The 22,959-nt window shown below is 45.7% G+C and overlaps 1 protein-coding gene and 1 long non-coding RNA gene across 6 annotated transcripts in view; one reads left to right on the forward strand and one right to left on the reverse strand.

Annotated features, from left to right (window-relative positions):
* SLIT3 (slit guidance ligand 3) overlaps positions 1-22,959 on the reverse strand; it is a 639,400-nt gene that overhangs the window by 417,899 nt on the left and 198,542 nt on the right. The gene's annotated exons all lie outside the window — the stretch shown is intronic.
* Positions 246-11,513, forward strand: LOC105377712 (uncharacterized). 3 transcript variants are annotated; one of them, XR_007059040.1, is made up of 5 exons: positions 258-358; positions 2,211-2,331; positions 10,274-10,345; positions 10,676-10,804; positions 11,058-11,513. It is a non-coding gene; the product is annotated as an uncharacterized LOC105377712 (long non-coding RNA). The 3 variants fall into 3 exon arrangements; XR_941191.3 differs by having other exon boundaries at positions 246-358; positions 10,718-11,513; XR_007059041.1 differs by lacking the exon at positions 10,274-10,345 and having other exon boundaries at positions 10,718-10,804.

Consider the following 22,959-nt stretch of genomic DNA (forward strand, 5'->3'; position numbering starts at 1 on the left):
GAGGAGGAGGAGGGAAGAGGAGGAGGAGGGAAGAGGAGGAGGAGGGAAGAGGAGGAGGAGGGAAGAGGAGGAGGAGGGAAGAGGAGGAGGAGGAGGGAAGAGGAGGAGAGAAGAGGAGGAAGAGGGAAGAAGAGGGAAGGGGAAGAGGAGGAGGAGGGAGGAAGAGGGAAGGGGAAGAGGAGGAGGGAGGAGGAGGAGGGAGGGAGGAGGAGGAGGGAGGGAGGAGGAAAGGTGGAGGAGGAGGAAGAGCAAAGGGAAGAGTGAAGAAGAAGAGGAGGAAGAGGAATGGCAAAGGGAAGAGAGAGAAGAGGGAGAAGGAAGAAGAGGAGGAGATTATGCACGACACTTGTTAAAATTGGTAAGAAAGACTTTATTTAAGGGGGGCTACTGCAACGGGGGTTTGCATAGGGGAGAGAGATGGGCTCAACTCCAATATAAGGACAAGTGGACATGTATAGCTAAGGAGCAGGTAGGAGTCTGGTGGAAGGAAAATTACTAGGAGGAAACATCAAGGCTAGGGGGATACTAGCCAGACCCACTCAACAGGCTTCTTGCTAAAACTGGACTAACTAGGCCAAAGTCAGGGCCCAAAGTCAGGGCCTAGTCAAAAAGAGGCCTCAGAGGAGCCTGACTCAAGTTTGGCTAAGGAGAGCGTGTTTGTCGGTGATAATAAAAATAATAGCATTTAGCAGGTATTGAGCCTTTATGTGCCAAGCACTGTGCTAGGGACTTTTGCATAGATCTCATTTAACCCACAGTAAGGTAATCTGGGGAGGTGGGTACTATGATCTCCTCCACGGCCAAGGCAAGGAGTCTGCGGCTGGGAGACATGATTTGACTTGCCCACATCCTGTGAGCAGGGGATTTGATCCCAGGGAGTCTGGTTCCAGAGCCTGCCGGCACCAGCTGTGTTCTAGGGCCTCCGAGGTGAGAGCTATAAAGCACGTGGTAGATGCCTAGTAAATATGGGTCTCCTCCTTAACACCTCTGAGGAAGCTGTTTTTTTTGCAAACCTGGCCTCTTCCCCAAACCATCAGCCACTCTACCATACAGCCAACTCTGTGGCCGGGGCTGACCTGACTGACTGTTTAACTTCTATCCTGCATGCTGCAGTTACGTCCTCAGCTGGCTGCCTTTCTGCACTGTAGTGCTTTTCCTGCTATGCCTGGATACCCAGGCAATTTAAAAGCATGTTGACCCTAAGAACCACTGCTCTGGAGAGCATTTGTGCTTGGCTTCTCTGAACAACCATTGATCATATTTCATGGTTTTAAAGAAAAAAGAAAAAAAAATGTAAAAAACCAGGTACCCTGGAGAAGCCAACAGGATAACCCCTGAGCTGTCACATGAGATAGGAACAAATGCACAGAGAGCACTGTGGCTGCCCCCGCCCCCCTTCCCCAGGGCTCCCCGCTCCAGCTCCAGGACTTGTTTATGGCCTGGGGGAACAGGGAAGGACAGGAGCCAACTCTGCACAATCACGAAAGGCCTGGGTCAGGCCTGGCCCACCAGGTGCCTGCCACTTACAAGAAAACAATTTTCTCAGGTTGAACTCTGCCTCCCGCTCTGGGGCCCCCTGGAGGGGTGCAGTGCTTTTCTCTTTCATTAAACAAGGGTAGGGGGTACACAGCAGGGTGGGAAGGAGCCTGGGAAGAGGAGAGGAAGGAGGTTTCATGCAGTGCAGCCAGCGGGGCAGCTGGGCCTCTGCCTCCCAGCCTGGGCCAAATGGAACCAGAGAGACCCACAGGTTCATAATTCATCTTAATGAAGGGTCTCCGTAAACCTGCCATGCCCTGGGGTTTCAGCAGGAAACTCCTGGCCATTTTGCTGACAAGGGTCCCCAAATGTGCAGGTGCTAATGGGGCCCTTTCCTCCTGGGGTTTTTATGGCATGTTTTGGAGCAACCGGATGTTTTAGAGTCTTCTTCCCTCAGGGCCCCCGAGGAGAAGGGGATGCTAGGCTGCAGGGCTTGCTCTGAGAAGGTCCCAGAAGCCTCCAGAAGATCTTCCATTGAGCAGCACATGGTCCTCTTAAGCAGACAGCTAGAGGAAGGCATGAGTCCCGGCAGCAATTCACAATGGCAGTAGGAGGTTGGACAGAGCAAATTATATTCAAAGCAGGGAATAACCCCCGAATGTATTTAAAAAATTTATCCCAGGCCAGACCCTGTGCTTTGCTCTTACATACACCGTCTCACTTACTCTTCACAGCAACACTGAGACGGTATTAGCAGCCCAGTTCTTCATTTGAGAAGACCAAAGCACAGAGGGGCTAAGTGATTTGCCCGGGCCCACACAGCTGGGTTGTTGCTGAGCCAGCATTTGAAACCAGGTCAGCCTGACTCCAGACCCCCCCACAGCATAACATTTAGCGACATTGTGCCTATTCGTTATCCCATTTAACACAAACAATTCTGAGATCCTTATTATTAGCACATTCTGCAGATAAGGAAAACAACTCGGAGAGGTGTAGGGACATGCAGTAAGTGTCCTTAGCAGGGACTCCACAGGCCGTAGACATGCCAGCAATACAATCCTCGAGTAGAAGCCATGTGGAAGCCACGCCAAACAAACCCCTGCTTTCTATGCCAAGTCTAAAGCCTTCAACTTTTTCTATTTTCCCACCAATGCAACTCACAGACATTGAAGACACACGGCTCATATATTATGCTTTGATTGTGTTTTTTAACCTACAGAGTTTCCTGTTTAAGTTGCTGGCCAAAGGCCCAGTTACGATTATGTTGGAGTAATTTTTTAAAATATGCCTTACTTACTTTCAGAAGAGTAATGAGATAGCTTCTTTAAAAAATAACACACAAAGCCACCTCCACCAACTAAATTGTAAACTCCTCAAGGGTTGGATGTTTGTCTATTTACTCTCTGATTCCTATTCTTCCCACCCCAATGCCTGGATTTTGAAAAGTACCTGTCTCTATGTGTGTGTGTGTCTCTCTCTTTCTCTACCTACCTACCTGAATCCTGTGGTAGAATTGTAGGAATGACCGCATCAGAACCAAAAGATTAAGAGTTATCACAACTTGCCATTTAATTGGTTCAGCACATCCTGGCAACCATGAAGAGTAGAAAAATAGTAGATGAAGATGTGATGTTGTTTAATACTTCTCTTTTGTAAGAGCCATTGTTTATCTTTCGACCTTACATGATTGGTACCTTACATCAGCAACTGTATGCAACTTCATACCCCTTTCGGCTAAATTTATCTCTGCTCCTTCTCTGCCTCAATAACACCACTCACACATTGACAAATGTCTTCTCAGCAGTTCAATACAGGGCAAATCCACAATTTGAACTTATGCATCTTTCTTAGAGCTCCAAAGCAAATAAAGTGATCACAGAATCTGAAACACTGATCTTTATTAAATCTCTACCATATGTAACATATGTTATTCAAAATAAGAATTTGGTCTTAGTTGCTGGTGAGAAGAAACATCATTACTCAACACAGTTTCGGAACTAACTGGTCACTCAGAAGCGGAATGGATCACACAAAGGTCTCAAACCAAACTAATTTCATTGTTGACTCTATTTGTATTTGCACTGACAGGTATTTGCATTTACCTGTCAAATACATTTGGAAATCTGGATACATGTGCGAATATACACACATGGGCAGAAGGATATCTACTTATTCCCTCAAGAGAGTCATACAAAAAGACTCTAGGTTAACTGAGACCTTAAAGCTTTACTGGTCTAACATCTCTCCTCCCACTTCAAAGCACACACACCTGAAAGTGAAATGGGGCGTTAGGGGGTGGGGGCAGAAGAGATCAACACCAATCCAGGCTTAGCACTTCTTGCAACAGGTGAATGGTGTTGAGGGCTATCAGCACGCCTTAAACTTACAGTCCCAAACTGATGAGATTGAGGTTGCACATTGGCAAACAGGAAATTGTCCCTGTGATCTCCTGCTCTTCAAAGGGGAGCCTCTCCAGCATGTGTGTTTGTCAGTTCAGAGTTTAATTAGCCATCTATATGCACTCAATCTGGGCTCAGCGGGGAAGACCAAACACGGTCAGGGCTGCAGTCAGCCATCACAGGCCTCTGGGCAGCACACAGCACGGCTCACAGCTGTCCACCAAGGAGCTGGCATGCCAGCACCCTCTAGGATTGCTCCTTCCTCTTCCCAATTCTCAGCACCCCAGGGGGTGACCTGGAACTCTTCCTGTTTGTCTGGCAATTAAAGAGGAAGCGCTCACTAGGGCCTACTTAGAATACCCACCTGGAGCAAATTGTCCCTCGTGGTTAGCTCTGCTTGCCTTTCTTAGTAAACCTGCTCTCTCACAAGCCCTGTACCTCACTTTCTCTGCCTGTTACTCCCTTCGCTTGGAGGGCAGTCTCCACCTTACCAGTGACCAGGATCATGCTTAGCATTTGTTCTTTTCCAAAAGTGTGCTTGTTTGAGTGTAAGAATCAAAAGATTTCTGGAATCCTCAACTCTTGTTTCAGTTTGGCCGAGAGCGGGATATTAGAGACTCCTAGACAATACAGTACCAGAGTCTGCAGCCTTCTAGCCTAGGCTCCCTCACACACACCTCTGTTGGTTGACTCCAACAGTATTTAAGAGAAAAAAAAGATTGAAGCCATGGCTTACATTCCAAAATAGGGAAATAGGGATGTTTCTTTTTCTTTTCTTTTTTTTTTTTTTGAGACAGTTTCGCTCTTGTTGCCCAGTCTGGGATGCAATGGCGCGATCGTGATCTCAGCTCACTGCAACCTCTGACTCCCAGGTACAAGTGATTCTCCTGTCTCAACCTCCCAAGTAGCTTGGATTACAGGCATGCGCCACCATGCCCAGATTTTTTTTTTTTTTTTTTTTTTTTGTTTCTGGTATTTAGTAGAGACGGGGTTTCACCATGTTAGGCTGGTTGGAAACTCCTGACCTCAGGTGATCCATCTGCCTCGGCCTCCCAAAGTGCTGGGATTACAGGCGTGTGCCACCGTGCCCAGCCTCAAAATTGGGATATTTTACACACATGAAATCAAATGTTCAGTTTCTTTTGAAAAACAAAACCAAAAACCAGAAGCTGCAGCAACACTGGGTCCATACCCCTGGGTGACAAACTTGGTCCTGAGCAGAGCAGAGTTCCCCTCTTTCAGGGGCCAGGGCCATTGCATGCTGTTGGATAGGTTGTACCTGCTGAGGGGGCCCAGAGGGGCGCAAATCAAAGCTGGGCCAAGTTGGCTTCCACTGGGAGGAAGGGGCCCCTTTTCCTAATCCACACAAAGGCTCCCATGGGCCAGGGGAGCCCAGTTCCCTCCACTCACCACCTGACCAACCTCACCCATTCATGTTACCCGTGTCTCCCAGCAGGAGTGTCTAATCCCTGCTATCAACAACAACAACCTACAGCTATAAACGTTTTACAAGTTTAACAGCAGCAACACGTGGAGGAGATTTCTACCCACACCTTGGAGAAAATTCCTACTGGGTTACCAACCACATCCAATTCTCTATAGACTCCAGGTTTCTTTCTTTCTTAAATTCAGCCCTCCAACTTCTACTGGGGTTTACTTGCTTCCTGGGCTCCTGGAAAAACACAAAATCTGACTCTCAGAGCCAGAGCAGGTCGGCTGGAAACACATGTGGCTTATTACACTGCTGAGTTATAAAGAATGAGAACGGCTGGTCCAATTTCTTTGTGGAGCAGCCTGTTGTCTCTGAGGCTGTCAGCAACCTGGGGTTTCTGCTTTTATGACATCTTCTGACCCAGTGAGCAGACCTGGGCAATAAAATGCAAATCATTCCAGCAGTCAATTAATCCCACTGAAATCGCTTCAACTAACACAGCAGCAAAGGGGCGTGGGAGGGGTTTTTTCTTTGGTCTTGCTCTACTCAGAGATAAACTGCAAAACTTAAGGGACTTTTAATTGTCCAGATCCACCCCAATTCCCCAAATCCAGGCCACATGCATGGCTGTTTAAGCCTTGATGAAAATTAATGAAATGGAAATAAGAAGGAGGTTACCGCTGTGAATCAGAACTGTTTGGTGTCAATACCCAAACCCAACACAGCCTGCCCCAGCTCAGCAAGACAAATCGTCGTCTTAAAGGGACCAGCCAGAGACATGCAATGCCTACGCTCTGTCATCGCTCTCATTTCTGGAGTAATGAAAGGTCCATGAGTTCGTGAAAATTCCTTCTGTGATATTCACAGCTGGGTGGATCTCGTGCAAACCACAGGCAGAAATGACATGGGTGTTGCTAGGCAGCCCCATCTTGCCACCTTTCAAAGCTGGTCCAACGTTGGTGTCTTTGACCTCCATCTGACTCAGCCACAGAGCACCAGCCTGCAGCGGCAAGAGTCAGCAGCACCCTTTACTCCATGAGGGCTCCCCAAATCACTTTTCAGAGGCCCTCATTTTCCCTACAGCTAGCCTCCTCAGCAGAAATGGCAACCCTCCCCTAAAGCCAACGGCCTTTCCTCACAGCCCCAACGTGTCCTTCAGAAGCTCTCGTGGCCCCTGTGAGAACAGTCAAGGCCAAGGGGCACAAATACCTCTTTTTGTTTTTTAAGAGCGTAGAGGGTTACATAGGCTAACCACCCCATTTTACATATGAACAAAATATAAATGACTTGCAAGATGGCAAGCAGCAAGGATCAGAACCCAGGAACTGGCAACCACTATTGTAAGTTCTGAAAGTGTGTTGGTGAATCCATTGTTTGGATCTCAGAATGATTTCTCTTTAAAGCTTTTGACAAGTGTTGGCCAGACTCCCAGCCCACAGGTATCTAACTAGTTAATGCATGTGTTCTGGAAATATAACACCAATGAGATTCCTTTATCTGTTTCTAATTGGTGGTTGAACAGTTCGGCCTGAAAATTCATTTGTAAAAAGTACACATGAACTATATACGGCTTGACTAAAAATAAAAGAAATGCACATTAGAACCATTCAGAGATAGTATTTTTTTCCTTGACTTCACTACAGCAAAGATGAAATTTTGAAAATCAAACTGATGTCAGTATTAGCATGGATTCAGTCAAGCTGGACCTCTTAACTCCTGCTGGTGATTATGAAAATTTGTGCAAACTTTCTGAAAGCAGTTTGGTAACGTGGGTCAAGAGTCTTAAGAATGCCCTTGACCTTTGACCCTTAATTCATCTCCGGGAAATCTATCCTAAGCAGAAATGTGGACAAAGGTTTAGGCCCAAATGTTCATTTCAGCACTACTGGTATAATTAACTTGGCCTTGACTGCCTTCTAACAGGGGGACATCCAAAGGAGAAGTCTTTGTTGGGCAGGATGATGGTGTGAGAATGCAAGTTTGGAGAAGCTAAGAAGTGAGAAACTGCTGAGCATAAAAGGAAAGGGCTGAAGATTAGTGCTATGCAAAGTGCCGTCCAAAAACTAGAGTCTATCTTGCAACTACTTACTAGCCAGCAATAAGAGTCAGCAATACAGCAACTGAGTAAATATTTAGCAGCTTGACATCTTGCACCCTCCCGGCATGCTATTTTGTGTTTCACAACAAAGCAAAGCAAAACAAAACAACAAAACAACTTAGCTTCTTCCCCCGGATATTCTGCAAAGCACTAACTGCTAGGGAGGCATCCTGCAGGGGGTGGCTGTGGCAGGGGAGGAGAAAACAGAGTCCAGAAGGTGGTGAGAGGGGTAGAGGACAGAAGTGTCTAGTGGAGATTTTCAACTATATTTTGCTGTGAGGTTGGTAATGCTGCCATCTCCCAGGTAGGCCCAGGGCATTTGTAGGCAAATCTCTATTGTCTGCTGTTGATTTCTGGAGCTGGGCTCACTTTGTAGGGATGTGAGGCAGTGCTTTCTCCTGTTGCTTCAAGAGAAAAGTGAGGTCAGGACTAAGAATGCACCCCTGGCCTCTGCACATTTGGGGAGCTTTTATTTCAGTGTACAATTAGGAACAACCTATGTGCCTAACATGAGGGGAATAGTTAGCTAAGGCATGCTGCAGCCACCCAGTGGAATATTATATGATCATCTAAATATTCTCAAAAAGCTTTTAATAATATGGCACAATGATCTCAGTATGTTTTTTGTTAAATGAAAACCCAGAAAACCAGCAAAGGTTTTTGTAGTACAGTTACAACCAATAAAGAAAAAACATTGCATATCAAAAATTAAAAGGAAATAGGCCAAAATGCCAGTAGTGACTGATGACATCCTAAGTGATTTTTTCCTTTCTTTATACTTTCTGTATTTTTTATAATTTTCACAGGGAGGAATGTATGCCTTTGATAATCAAAAATAAGTGTTAGTGAAAGGAAAACAAATTGCTCTGTAGACCAACATATTGAGTTCTAACTTGGCATCCCCCTACTTTCCTCCGTTCTCTTTATCCTCCTACCACCCTTTTTCTCTGGGCCACCTATAGGCCAGGACTTTCCTTACTTCGAGAAATAGGCAGGAGGGCAGAGGTGCCCCTAGCTGCCAACATCTTACAATTCTCTGCATGGTAGCCATTCCCTACCGCTGTTTTCTTGGCCAATTACTCTCCAGATTCTCTAAAGTAGGAAACAAAGGACAGTTGCTTTCAAGAAGGAAGGGACTGAGCAACTCTATCTCCTGCAGTGTGTCGGCTGGCCGTATGGCTTGTGTTCATAAATAAGCCTGTCCTCCCTCCTAAGTTGGTCTCATCTTAGCCAGGTGGTTCACGGTGTTTCAGAAGACACAGCACGTATTACAAAGGGTCCATCATCCAGGAGTTTGCAAAATGCTGAGATCCGTACTGCCTCCTACTCCCCTGTCAAAGTTCTTTTTCTTCGATTTTTTTTTTTTTTTTTGCCACAACAACAGCGACAATAACAATGACAACAAAAACAATTGGCATAAGAATAGCAAACCCAAAGAGAATCACAGCATAAAACCCTTTCCATAGCAACGGCATTTCTGAGCCAGGGATTTACAACTAGTCCAGGAGTGAGCAAGACTGGTCAGAGGAATGCAGTATGGAGAGACTGATAATTACACCAAAACCATGAGCTGGGGCAAGGGTCTTTCCGAGAATCAGATTGAGCACTGGCTGCTGCACCTGGCTGGGTATCCAAATCTCCAAGGAGCTTTGAGGAATACCGATTCCAGGCCCTTCTTGAGAAGAGCTGACTGTGGCTGGGCACGGTGGCTCATGCCTGTAATCCCAGCACTCTGGAAGGCTGAGGTGGGCAGATCACCTGAGGCCAGGAGTTCAAGACCAGCCTGGCCAACATGGCAAAACCCTGTCTCTACTAGAAATACAAAAATGAGCCAGGCATGGTGGCGCATGCCTGTAGTCCCATTTGCCTGGGAGGCTGAGGCAGGAGAATCGCTCGTACCTGGGAGGCAGAGGTTGCAGTGAGCCAAGATCATGCCACTGAACTCCAGCCTGGGAGACAGAGCAAGACTCCATCTCAAAAAAAAAAAAAAAAAAAAAAAAAAAAAAAAAAAAGAAGTGCTGACTCTGATTCTCCAGTGGTAGGGCCAGGGAATCTGTGTTTCATACCGATGTGCCTAGGATTCTGATGCAGCAGCCCTGTACCGCTATCTGCACACAAGTGCTAATAAAGAAATGTAGGACCCCTTCCCAACCAGAGGCAGAACCTGCTTCATCCTTCATGCTTGTCATCCACCACTGTGTGTAAGGACCTCTTTGGGAGGTGGAGAGTGACAGGTCTCTTTGTGCTGGAAACTTCTAGAAACCTCTTCCTGAGAGTGTCTAAAGCCTGAGGTTCTCTTGCATGGCTTCTACTTCACCACGTGCTACTTCATTTCTTGAAAAGAAAACCGGCTGCTCAAACTCCAAGGCAGGGTTAGCAGGGGTGCTGTCTGTCCCTGTTCTCCTGTGGACAAGCTAAGGCCTGTCTTAGGTAGCTATTAGCCTAGAATACATTCCCTTCTGCTCCAAGCAAACAATACCATTTGACTCCTTTTCCCAAACCCAAATCCCGTGCACTCTCTGCCTACACTCTGTGCCCCTAGTGGTGAATCCTTCACTCTGGCTGTGGGTTCACCAGTCACACTGACCTTTCAGACCCTGGAGAGCTCTGTACCTGTCAGATCTCAGCAAACTTCTCCTCCTCAGGGAGCCCTAAGGACCCTCCATCCTGGACTGGAAGTCCCATCACTGTACTTCTCTACAACTATTGCATTTCCCCTTCACACACTTGCCAGTGTTTGTAACCATAGATTAACTTGAGTGATAAGTTGCTTAGTGTATTTTCCACTTGGCCTAGGGTTCCAGAGGTAGGGGCTGTGTGTGTGGCTGACCACTATAACTCATGGCACGATGATCCTTCCTACCCTAGGCTACATCCTTGAATCTCAGCTTGGACTTGGTATCATTCAGAGTCCTACCAAGAGAATCAAAACCACTTCAGGTATTTCCTACAGAAAGAATTTAATGCAGGTGAATTGTGTATGCAGGTGACAAGAGAACTGAGAGCCCAACCCAGAATGCTGAGACATCCCATAGATAAGCAACAGCAGGGAGCTGTTCCCACCTGTACGCTAGAGGGATAAAGGGAACGGGTGATGTTACAGAGCCCAGGGGCCTGTCTGGCAGGAGATGAAAATACCAAGGTGACACAGCCATTTCCAGAGAGGCTGTCAAACCAAAGAAGAGGGTGAAGGGGAGGAGGGAGGAAAAGAGAGCAGAGAAGGAGGAGAAATAATAGTAATAATAATGATACTCTGCTTCTCCCTCCCAGTGCCTCCACCACCAGTCTCTCATGAATGACTCTCCTTGTCAGGGCCCAGATGGAAGCCAGCTGACATGCAAGCCTGGGAACTGCAGCCTGCAGAGATCAACAACCCCACGGAGTCACAGAGCAGAGCAGGTGAAGGAAGAAGAATGGGTTTGAGGCAAACAGGGCCAGGATCGGCAGGCCTTGTCCTCCAGGAAGCCTTTCCCACCCCACCTCAGGCTGGAATAGGGGCCTTCGTAGGCTGAATGATGGCCTCCCAAAAATGTTCACTTCTTAATCCCTCAACCCTCTGAATATTACCTTATATGACAAAAGATGTGACTAAGACGTGTTAAGGATCTTGAAAAGAGAGACTGAAGCTGGGTTTTCTGGATGGGCTTCATAGACAGACACACAGAAGAAAAGGCAATGTGAAGACAAGACAGAGGCCGGATGGAGGTGATGCCACCACAAGCCAAGGAATGCTGGCAGCTGCTAGAAGCTGGAGGAGACGGGGAACAAATTCTCTGCTAGAGCCTCCAGAGGAAAGACAGCCCTGTTCACATCTTGATTTCAGAAGTCTGGCCTCCAGAACTGCGAAAGAATACGTGACTGTTATCTTAAGCTACAAGTCTGTGTATTGTGCTCCTCCATCGTATTCCCAAAACAGCATCCCTGGCTTCTGTCCCGTGCCCATTGTCCTTTCATGCTGAAGCAGCTTATTGCATTGTCTTATCTGTCCTACCAGGCTGACCTCCTTGAGGGCAGAATTAGATCTTGGAGAGAGAGCGCCCTAGTTCTCAACATTGTGACGGGTATATAATGGATGACAAATAAATATTAACTTGACTTTAGGTTTTAAGTCACATCTTAACTTTGATCTCTTATTTCTTCATATTGCCCAAATGAAGAAGTTAACACATTCTAATATTTCTAGTCATCTAGGCAGACTCTACACGGCATATCTTCCTACCCTATAAGCCAGCCCTTACCTCCCAAGACCCTGTAAGGGATGCATTCTTGCTTTAGGTGGCAGAAAATGCAGTGTTTCCAACGGCATGGTTGGTCCCATTCTTCCCACCCATTCAACCTGTAATTCCTGACAATAAGGGGGAGCCATGGAGAAAAAGACACCTCTTCCATCCTGCTTTTCTCTTGACTCATGCAACTCATGGCCATGGGCCAGGTCAAAGTTCCTCTGGAGTCCCCCATGTTAACAAGCTGGAAGCTAAACAGCACACTGTTGTACAGCATTTTTCTGAGTAGTTAATTAACGAAAGGATAAGCTACCTTGACAATCACTGAAGCAAGCAGCCTCACTGTGCAGTCGTCAAGAGGAATGAGATTAGTTTCAAGGGAGACCATAGGGAAATGACAAGGAGGGCAGGCTTGATGGGGCTCGTGGTTTCCTCTGGCTGCTCCTTGCCTGGCTCTCCTCCCCACAGTGCAAGCAGACGTGTGCAAAGCCTCGTGGCGAAGCTGGACCGGCCTGATAATCAGTTATCACCCAGTGCTCTGAACATATTTAGTCTGCTCACAGATGGCATGGGCTGGGCCAAGGTCCTTCTGGAAATCACATTGCCCAAGGTTGACAGCCTGGGATGGTAACATGTACCAGAAATCACTGAGAGGCCCAGAAAAAATGACTCAGAGTGGGTGCGGTGGCTCGTGCCTGTAATCCCAGCACTTTGGGAGGCCGAGGCAGGCGGATCACCTGAGGTTGGAAGTTCGAGACCAGCCTGGCCAACATGGTGACACCCCATCTCTACTAAAAAATACACAAATTAGCCAGGCGTGGTGGCAGGCAGCTATAATCCCACCTACTTCGGAGGCTGAGGCAGGAGAATCGTTTAAACCCGAGAGGTGGAGGTTGCAGTGAGCCGAGATCGTGCCATTGCACTCCAGTCTGGGTGACAAGAGTGAAACTCTGTTTCAAAAAAAAGACTCAGAGGTAGGCAGGGTTGGTCAAATCAGATTCATATTGACCCACAGAGTGAAGGAGAGGAGCTGTGGCCATTGCTAGGGACCAAGGATGGTGAGTAAATGGCCATGAGGAGTGGCAGTGTTTCTGGGAAAGGACATATGGACCATAGCGGAGATGTACCAATTCTATTCTGTTCTGTTCTATTCCATTCCATTGTATTCCATCCCATTCCATTTTTATTTCTTGCTACCGAAGTCTCAGTGGGAGTTGTAGTCTACCCTCCACTCCAGAAGCCAAAATGGTCAGGTCCTCAGTTTCCCTGTTGCCTCCGTAGTCAGGCGTGTGACCTAGGCTCAGCCAATGAGACACACTAGCCTGAGACTTTTGAATCTGGAGCTTTTGATGAAAAAGCAGTGTCTGTCAGCACGCATAATTCTTGCAGAGATGGCAGGCAGCACAGTCCATTTCTGGGGCAGAAGTACCAGAGTGAGGTGTCCACATCCAGGGCCAGCACCAGTGGTGGCAGTGCCCTTCTCTCCATCCTGTCCCTTTGTGGTCTTGGTGTACCCACTTCCTTTCTTCTCATCCCTGTCCTGAGCCCAATTCTTCAGATCTCCGGCAATTCTGACACCTTCCTGATTCATTTTTTGTACATCAATTTGCCATCTACATCAGCTAGCGTGGGCATAGAACTATTATGCTGACCTGATACAGAGTGTGTAGCGGCTTATTTCTAAGTGGATGGAGGAAGTGCAGAGAGCTTGCTGTGTTTTATCCAGGGCGGAGTTCTGGAAAACGGTTTTCAATATTTTTTATTTCTGTCACAAAACAATAAGTTGGATATATTTGTTAGGCCTCTTTAAGGGCAAGTGACAGAAACTGGTTTAAGAACAATAGGAATTTATTTATAACTGTAAATTATGAGGGTTAACAGGACCCAGGTACAGCCAGATCTGGTGAGGTAAGTATTATCAAGAATTCACCTCTCTTGCTTCTTCTTTACTGGTTTCATTCTTAGGTGGGTTCTAGTCATCACCTGGTTTCCGGCTTCTCCAGGATTGTACCCTACCAGTTTAGTGATTATTGTAGGTTAAAGAAAACCCTCTTCTCCCAAAAGGTCCAGCAAAATTCTGGAACTGATTATAACTGGGCAAACTGGAGCCAGGATTTGAGTCCAGTAAATCTACACCCTGTATTCTTTCTATCAATTTAACTTAATATTCAAAAGAACCCAATGAGGTCCTGGGGCAGGGGCTTGGGGGTGGGGGTGGGAGACAGAAGCTGATTGGCCCAGGTCTGGCTTGTGCTGAGGGTCGAGTTGATCATTCCTGAAAATGTTCTCAGATTTCTCTGCAGATCCTTACAACCCTTCCTGCCCCAACTTATGGGAAGCAGAGTTTTACAATAGAGTAGCTCATGGGTTTTAGTCTTTGTTTTTATAAGAAGTAATATATTATTGTTAGAATTTATTTGCATCCCCCATTAGTTGTGCCAGATATAAGTCAGGCTATGGATTATAAGCTGATGCTCCATTCATTCCTCACTCTCTAAAATAATACACAATTGATCAAGTGTGATCAGTTGATCACAATTGCAATACAAATGATCAAGTGTGATCTTATAAGCATGGCCTTGAAGAGGCCTTATGAATTTTTATTTCAAGTAAAAATTATTTCTTAAAAAGTACTAAGAATAGAAGTAATATCTAAATAGAAGTAATACCTTTCTCCTTACCTAATGTTTGTTAAGAGTATACTATGTTCCTGGTACCGTTCTAAGCATTTCCTATCTGTGAACTCACATCATGGTCCTAACAACACTATGAAGTAGGAATGAATGTTAATCCCATTTATAGATGATGGAACTGAAAATAGAAATATAAAGAAATTGGTCCAAGATCACACAGCTAATAAATGTTGGAGCCAGGATTTGAGTCCAGTAAATCTGCACCCTGTATTCTTTTTGTTAATTTAACTTAATATTTGTAAGATCCCAATGAGGTCATTACTATTCCTGTTTTACAGATGAGGAAACAGAGGCTCATGAAGTTAAACGACTTGTCCAAGGTCACGGTGCTAATAATGACTTTGAGCCAGAATTCCAACCCAAATTGTTTTTCGAAGCTATAGCCCAGGCCAGGTGTGTTGGCTCACGCCTGTAATCCCAGCACTTTGGGAGGCCAAGGCGGGTGGATCACCTGAGGTCAGGAGTTTGAGACCAGCCTGGCCAACAGAGTGAAACCCCGTCTCTACTAAAAATACAAAAAATTAGCCAGGCATGGTGGTGCACACCTGTAGTCCTAACTAGTTGGGAGGCTGAGGCAGGAGAATAGCTTGAGCCCAGGAGATGGAGGTTGCAGTGAGCCCAGATTGCATCACTGCACTCCAGCAGGGGCAACAGAGCAAGACTCAGTCTCAAAAAAAAATTACAGCCCTTATCCACTCACTATGCCCCCTCCAAATGTACTACAGATCCCCTGTGGGCAGAATAGAGTGCTGACACACCAAGGTGTGAAGAATCATTGCTTTAGGATAGAAGTTTGCTAACTGTGGCCCTAACCTGCCACTGCTTTGTAAATAAAGCTTTATTAGAACACAACCATTTCCATTCATTTATTTACTGTCCACAGTTGCATTTGCATCACAACAGAAGAGCTGAGTGGCTGTGACAGAGACCACATGTCCTGCAAAACCTGTAATATTTACTATCTGGCACTTCATAGAGACAGCTTGCCGGCCCACCCCTGCCTGGGGAGGACCCAGGATGGCTCATGACTCACGGTCACCACCTTAAACCACAGGGACCAGGAGGAGGACACGAAATGACTGCTTTCCTAACAGCTAGTCAAAGACATGAAGTTTGAAAATAATCTCGGTAGTTTTGAAACTTTATCTCCCTGCCCTATTTCCCGTTTCTGCCAAGTATTCCTACCAAGGCAAACCCTTGTCTCAATCAAAATCCCCTGATCTAGCCATTTAGTTTCTTCTTATTCATTGTATAACTACTGATCATCCCGGGAAGCACATGTAAATTCTCTTCCATCTGAACTGATTGCCTAATGTTAAAAATATGAATGCAGAGTCATCTTGCACCGAAAACCACATCTGACTGGCACTTTTACATGTTATGGCAGCCATTTTAGAAGCAGGCATTTTCACCCCTAATGAAAAAATCCAAATCCAATTGCCCAGTCAGTTTTAGGAAGCCCTGAGAAGCATAACAAGTTCTCTGGTCCCTAGGACATACTCTGAAGAAATTAAAACTAAGGTATGAGGGTATTGAGAAGAGTAAAGCCTCCTCCCCTGACTCAGGCAGGCCAGACCGAGGCTGGGGCTCTGTCCAGCTTTTGTGTAAGTATCCATGGACTTCCCACCTGCCATCTCTCTCTGGAGTGGCTCGCTGTGGCATTAGGTGTAACATTTTAAGTCCCTAGGGGGCCCTCTATTGTGAAAAATGACTTCCCTCCCATGCATCACCTTCTCCTGCCTTCAATGGGCCATACCAATCTGTGTCCTCACTGTCAAGCGGCCTCACTGCCTTTCCAGCCCACCATTGATTGGCACTTGTGGTTCCTTGACATCTCGTTCCTGCCCCACCACAGAAGTCTAGCAGAATTACACCCATTCTTCAACCTTCTGCCCAAGTATCTTACATTTTACAAACAATACTTTTTAAAACAATTTTAATTACATAAGTACATGAATGCATTCTCCTGATCATAATGCATTCTGTAAAAGTACTGCAGATAGGGCTCAAGTCTCTATTGACAAAAACCTCTAAGCTCCATTCCTCCCTCAAGGCAAGACAAGTATTATCTGTCCATTGCATATTTTTCCAGCGTCCCTTCTATGCATTTGCATAATTACATATGCACTGTGAGAAAATATACAATATGTTTTGCACATTTTACACAAATGGTAACATCTTTGCCTTTTTCACTCAACAATCCCTACTGGAAATTTTTCCACATTACTCAATGTAGATAGAATGCATTCTTCTTCACTGCCACAGTGTAAGTATAGCATTCTTCTTGTGATTGACATTTAGATTGTTTCCAGCTATTTGAGAGTAAAATAATGATGTTATAAACATCCTTGTCTATGACTCCTTGTGTACCTGTGTGTGTCTCCAAGGTAGATTATATATGATTTATTGTTTTCTAATTGTTTAGAGCAGGGGTTAGCAAATGTTTTTCTGCAAAGGGCCAGATAGAAATGTTTTAGGCTCTGCAAGTCTTAAGGTTCTTTTCACAACTACTGGACTCTGCCCTTGTGCCTGAAAAGCAGCCATAGATATGTAAATAAGTGAGTGTGGCTGTAATTTAATAAAACTTTATTTACAAAATAGCCATTGGACAGAATTTGGCCCAAAGTCACAGTTTGCTGTCCTTTGGCTTAGAGTATACCTTCCAACAAGTACATCTATGTTTTATGGATTAGGGATGGATCTAGGGCATGACACCACACCACCAATGGCTACTGATATATATTGAGCCAGTGAGATGTAGCCCATCGCTATGGGCATGATCTCATTTAGTCCATTCAACATTCCTATGTAGTAGTAGAATCCATACTCCCACTGAGTCAATTGAAACTCAGTGATATTAAATATTTAAGGTCACACAGCTGGTAATGAGTGGAGCTGAGATTCCTTCCCAGGTAGCGTGACTCCAAGCCTGCATTTTTAACCACTATATTACAATGTCGTCCTACTGTTAAAGGGAGAAGAGGTAGAGTGCAGACAGGTCAAAAGACAGCTAGTCCAACATTTAAGTTCCTGGGGGTTGTAACAACAATGGTTTTTAGATGGTTCTGGTGGACCATTTCCCCAGGAATATGCATAGATAGTTTGTCTGCAATTTCAGGTAACAGAGCTCCTGAGTGCCACCCATGAACCTCGGGTTAAGATTCCTTGTTAGGACCCATGAGGCTGGGAACCTATTTAGTGTTGAAACATTACCATTTGCTGTCTCTACCTGAAATGTGCACTGTTCCCTGCCTATAGGGCCAAGAAGTTGTAACTTAAAACTCCTCTCTCTGCCTAGAAATCCTCACTTTTCTTCCCCACTTAGTCCATTAAGTGTGAGATGTGGTATTACAGTTTGCTTGTGTTTTACCCACAAAAGAATGAAAGGAAGATGGATAGATAAATGGGGAGGAGGAAAAGGGGAGAGGAAATGGGAGAGGAAGGAAGGAAAAAAGGAGGAAGAAAGGTAGAAGGTGGAAGAGAAAAGGGAAGAAGGAAGAAAGGGAAGGAGGGAGAAAGGAGAGAAAAAAGAATCCCACTGTGACATGTAGACGCATTTTCAAAATTGTATTTATCCAATATGCTTTCACCTTTTTGGGACAGTTTGGAGAACTGTTAAAACTATCAAAGGCAGACTACCAGGGAGATGTTTATTCTACGAAGAGTAGTTACACGATGATGTCAGCTTAGCAGCCACAGACATTTCTGGCCAGAGGGGGCTGTTGGAGGAGGCAGTCAGGCGCAGCAGCAGTAGCAGGAGGGCTGTCAGGTTGGCACTGGTGCCTTGGAGCTTGCTCTGTAGCCCCCCACCACCCTGCAAAAGGTCCCAGATGCTGCTTCTCATCTGCCCTTTGTTAGGTCCAAACCCTGCTCCCCAGGCACAAGTTGGAGGATCAAGTGCATTTTCCAGTCCGTTTCATGCCAACTGAAAAGCTGAGACCTGCCAAGGCCTGAGCTTTTAAAAATATAAGTAGGGAACCCCCAGGGAGCCTGAAGCAGGGGCTATTCAAAATGTTCTTTTAAAAAATTTTTAAAATATACTTGACAAGTGCTTTTTCCCCATTTGGGGAAAACCTGTCAGAAAGGATGCCCAGAGCAAAGAGAAACTCTGACCCCAGGCAAGCTGCCTGGGCCTTCCCAATGGGTATCCCTGGGCCCCGGCTTGATTTTTTTTGGAAAGCAGGCTTCTTCTCACACATGGGGTTTCATGCCTTAGAGTTAATTATTCAGTCACGAATTACTCCAGGAAGAACTTCCCTTTCTATGGAGCCAAATGACCAAGTGTCTTTCTATAAAAAGAACGTCATCCCTTTTAACGAGGACACCCCACACCCAAATCACACACGTGTGTGTATACACACAGTATACATGCAACCGATAACTATGCACAATCATAAGCACATTTTTGGCCTAGATGTGAATCCGCTATTAGTAGATGCAGAAGGTTTTGGCTCCCAAGCCCACAGCCTAAGGAGAGATGATTTTTATAGCCTTAAGCTAGAATCTGAACAAATGCTGGGATGCACAGAGGACTCCATTTTATCAGTGGGATCTCCACCTATTCCACACATTGCATGACGCTAGTGTTCACAGCTCTGACAATTCCAGACAGACAGATGTCCCGTACAGTTTAGTAGACATGAAATAGCTCAGCAAACACACACAAGAGCAAAAGTGGACGAAGTGGATGACATTGATGTGCCCACCTACAAATGTGTCAAATGACAGGAGGGTTAAGTGTAGATGGTTTCTGATGAAGACGTCATTTGATCATACGTCTCCTTTACCGGACACAGTCATTACAATGGGACAATTGTTCAGTTGCAAGAAGCAGGATTCACATTTTTCCAACCTCTTTGTACTTTTCTCTCCCAAAGGAGCATTCCTTGAGAAGCCGGAGGAATTCTACTGATTACATCTCCAGCACAGCCACATTCCAGCGGGTAGGAGGGTCACACACCTGGGCCGGCAGAAAAAGGCCAAAACACTGAGATCCCAGGTCAGATCTCAGATGCCTGCACCCTTCCAGCAGCACAAAAGCTCATAGGCTACTCCCAGTTGCCTGGTGGCTACATCTACCGCCTCTGCTTGACCTTCCAGAAATTCCCTTGAGGATTTAAAGCAAGCATCTTCCCTACCCCAGCCCCTCTCCCCAGTGTTCTGTCATCTCATCTTCTTCTGACCTAGCCCCTTCCTTGTTTCTGGAGGGATAAAACAACCTGAGGAAATTCTCTGCTCAGCAAGGAATATGCCTCTCAGGTTACGGTTTGTGTTGGCATGAAATAGGCGATTTGCAGGCACAGAAGCCCCCAAGACAGTGGCCTTGACATACAAACCTGGCAGGATGGTCTCAGGGTATCTCTGGGGGCTGTTCTTATCCTCATGCTTGTGTGACTTGTTCATCATCCATTCAATTGTTCATCATTCCTTAATTCAATGAACACTTCCTTCCTCCTAGCTCCTGTTCCTTCCCTTCCATGTGCTAGACACTGGGGATGCAAAAAGAATCACTAACACATGTTTAGCAACTACTGTGTGCTCTTCACAGTGCTGACTGTTTTCTAGACTTTATGCCATTTTATTCTCATAACCTTTTGATTAGAAATGATTATTAGCCCTATCTTACAGATATGACAATTCAGCCTGTAAGTAGTCACACAGCTATTAGGGGCTGGGGTTGAAATCCAGGCAGTCTGCCTTCCCAGCTCATCTTAGTCCCAACCATGCCATATCCTGACACAGAATGCCGGTCATGACCTCAATGTATGCTCATGGTGTAGCTGGCGAGGTGGTCAGGTAAGGGGAGGATGGTAACACAGTGTGACAAGTGCTACCAGACGGGCATCTAACCCTGCATTAGGTCAAGAAGGCAGGCAATGTTGCAAGGAAAAGATAACATCTAAGGTGTGCCCCGAAGGCAAGGAGGGCATCTGCCAGCTGGAAGAGGCAGGTCCAGGCCCACTTGCTGGGCTTATCTGAACGAAAGCAGACTGACCATGAGCCAGAAAGCAGCTTCTTTCCTGGGGAGCAGATGTCAGAGAGATGACTGGCCTTTAGCTTGGAACGCCTTGTTCTGCTTCACGTACACTTATCTCATCACCCTGCCAAGCCTCTCTCTGGCACTGCTAATGCTGGGGGTAAGTGAAAAAACAGAGTAGAGTGTGTGGTCTATACAAACAGGTAGGTTCAAGCCTGCAGCAGAGCCAGCAGAATGAGGGATCCAGTCCAAAGCTAGAAGAGCCTAGGAAGAATGGTGAACATGGAATCCCCTTGGGCCCAAGAAAACAGTGGTAAACAGCATGAGTCAGACGGGAAGGAGAGGACAGCAAAAAGCCCTGGACTTAACAGTTGGGATCAGTCCTGGCAAAGTCACATGAAAGATTTGTGAACTGGGGTCAAGTCCTTCAAACTAGATGAGGCTTCGTTTACCTATTAGTCAAATGGGGAAAATGATACCCACTTCCCAGGATTGTCGTAGCACAAAGGCAAGAGTGGAAGAAAATGCTTTGTAAATGAAAGCAGGTAAAGAGTTTCCCAGAATAAAGGCGTCAGGAATATGGGTCCATGCTGTCACTTAGGCTCAGGAGAGATTGGTGCTTCAACCAATGAAAATAATGCTAAGTCATTCCTTCAGATCCTGGGGGTTGGGACAAGAGGGACACAAACGCACTAAAAGCATGATCTGTAACCTTACTGTAACCATCTGCCCCAGAGCCTCCATACTAAGTCCGTGGTGGTGGGAAGGCCAAGCAGACACTGGGTCATTCCATCCTCCAGTGATCCTGTGACCAATTCCAGGCACCTCCATCCTCTCCATCTTCACCAAAGGAACCAGGGATACCTCAGGGTTTAAGAGGCTGACTCATTAGGGTTCTCTGCGGTCACTGGCAGATGACAAGCTGATGCAGGAAAATCCCATGTGTCAACAAACCCTGCTGGCAAGAGAATGCTAGTTGCTGCCTCTCAAAGTGTCCTTCTGTGTTTTTTAAATAAGTAGCCCAGCATGGGAGTCAGCGTGAAAGTTGACCATTGGAGTCCTCCTTGGGCTCATCCTGCCTAGCTGGTTTTGAGTTCTAGTTGCTTTGACAAAGGAATAGTGACTTAATACTGAGCATATTTCATTTTGTCCTGAGTGCCATGGGAGGCTGAAGTTAGTGTTTCCACTTTGATGGTCTTAGGGAGTAAAAGAAACTTGACTGTCATCTTCTAAGAAGAAAGCCATGAATGTGGGCATCTGGAGGCAATAACACTTTGGTTTTTGCTGCACAATATTTAGTCCAGAAGAACAGCCCACAAACATCCCACCCAAGGTCATTACTGGTCCCTTGAATGGTTCCTCTTCACAGGACAGGACGTGGGTAAAGCTGAAGTTTGTTTTCAATGCCTTAGTGCCCTCTAGACCTCCCACCATGGAAACTTGCTCTTGGGAGAGGTCCCCAGTCTCATTCACATTGAAGTGTGTTAAGAGATTAAATTCTTATCCCACTAACAGTGTGATAGGAATCTAAGCTTTAACTACTAGAATGGAGATCTTCAACTCCATGAGATCCATGAATGCTCAGCCATCTGCCTCCAGGACTCCTTGGTCTCCTTGCCTACACCTTGCCTCCTCAATTCATTCTCCACAACAAAGCTGGAAAGAACTTCCACAAATGGAAATATACTGAGCATTTCATTGCTAAAAGAATCTCTCAATAATCTTGAATCAGTTTCAAGAAAAATGATCCTTAATGATCCTGCCACTCGCTACCCCTCTCTGGTCTCATTATCTGAGTGCCACAATATGCCTGGGTACTATTTGCAATATGCTCTGGCTACCCTCACCACAGGGCCTTTGCACATGTTATTCTGCTCTGCTTAGAGTGTCTTTTATCTTTTTCTCCACCGGTCTAACTTTCTGTACAACCTTCAAGACTCAGCTCAAGGATTCTCTACTTTTCAGTGGGCTTTTTAAACATCCCCTCTACTCCAGACTGGATAACCTCAGAGATCCTGGCCTTTCCCAGCACTGACCATTCAGCGCCACAGTTCTAGACTTATTTGTCTTTTCCAACAGAATGTGAGTTCCTTGAGTGAAGTGACCCCTGTCCTATTCACCTTGACCCTGACACCTAACCAATGAATATTCACTCCGTGAATGAATCCTGTATTCTGGAGGGCAGGCAATTTGCCCAGCAGTCCCCAGAAAGTTATGCCATTGCCTGTGTGGAGCTGGCTAAAAGGAAACATGTGTGTTGGGGTGGGGATGAGAACTGGGGACATCCCCTGCCTGAAGGGGAGAGTTGAAATCACTCCCAGCCAATTTGAGGCCACTGCAGCCAAATCTCCTGATTTTTCAAAGAACATAGACATTTTTGGATTATATATATCCATATTCATGAATATATATACAGTTGTCCCTCAGTACCTGTGGGGGATTGGTTTCAGAACCTATCCCTAGGACACCAAAATCCATGAAGCCCTTCATATAAAATGGTATAGTATTTGCATATAACCACTGCACATCCTCTCACATATATTAAATCATCTCTAGATTACTTATAATACCTAATGCAATGTAAAGGCTATGTAAATATTTATTAGATGTATTTTAAAATTTGTATTATTTTTATTATCGTATTATTTTTCCCAAATACTT

The sequence above is a fragment of the Homo sapiens genome, chromosome 5, assembly GCF_000001405.40.
Source record: "Homo sapiens chromosome 5, GRCh38.p14 Primary Assembly".
In the NCBI taxonomy this organism is placed as follows: Eukaryota; Metazoa; Chordata; class Mammalia; order Primates; family Hominidae; genus Homo; species Homo sapiens.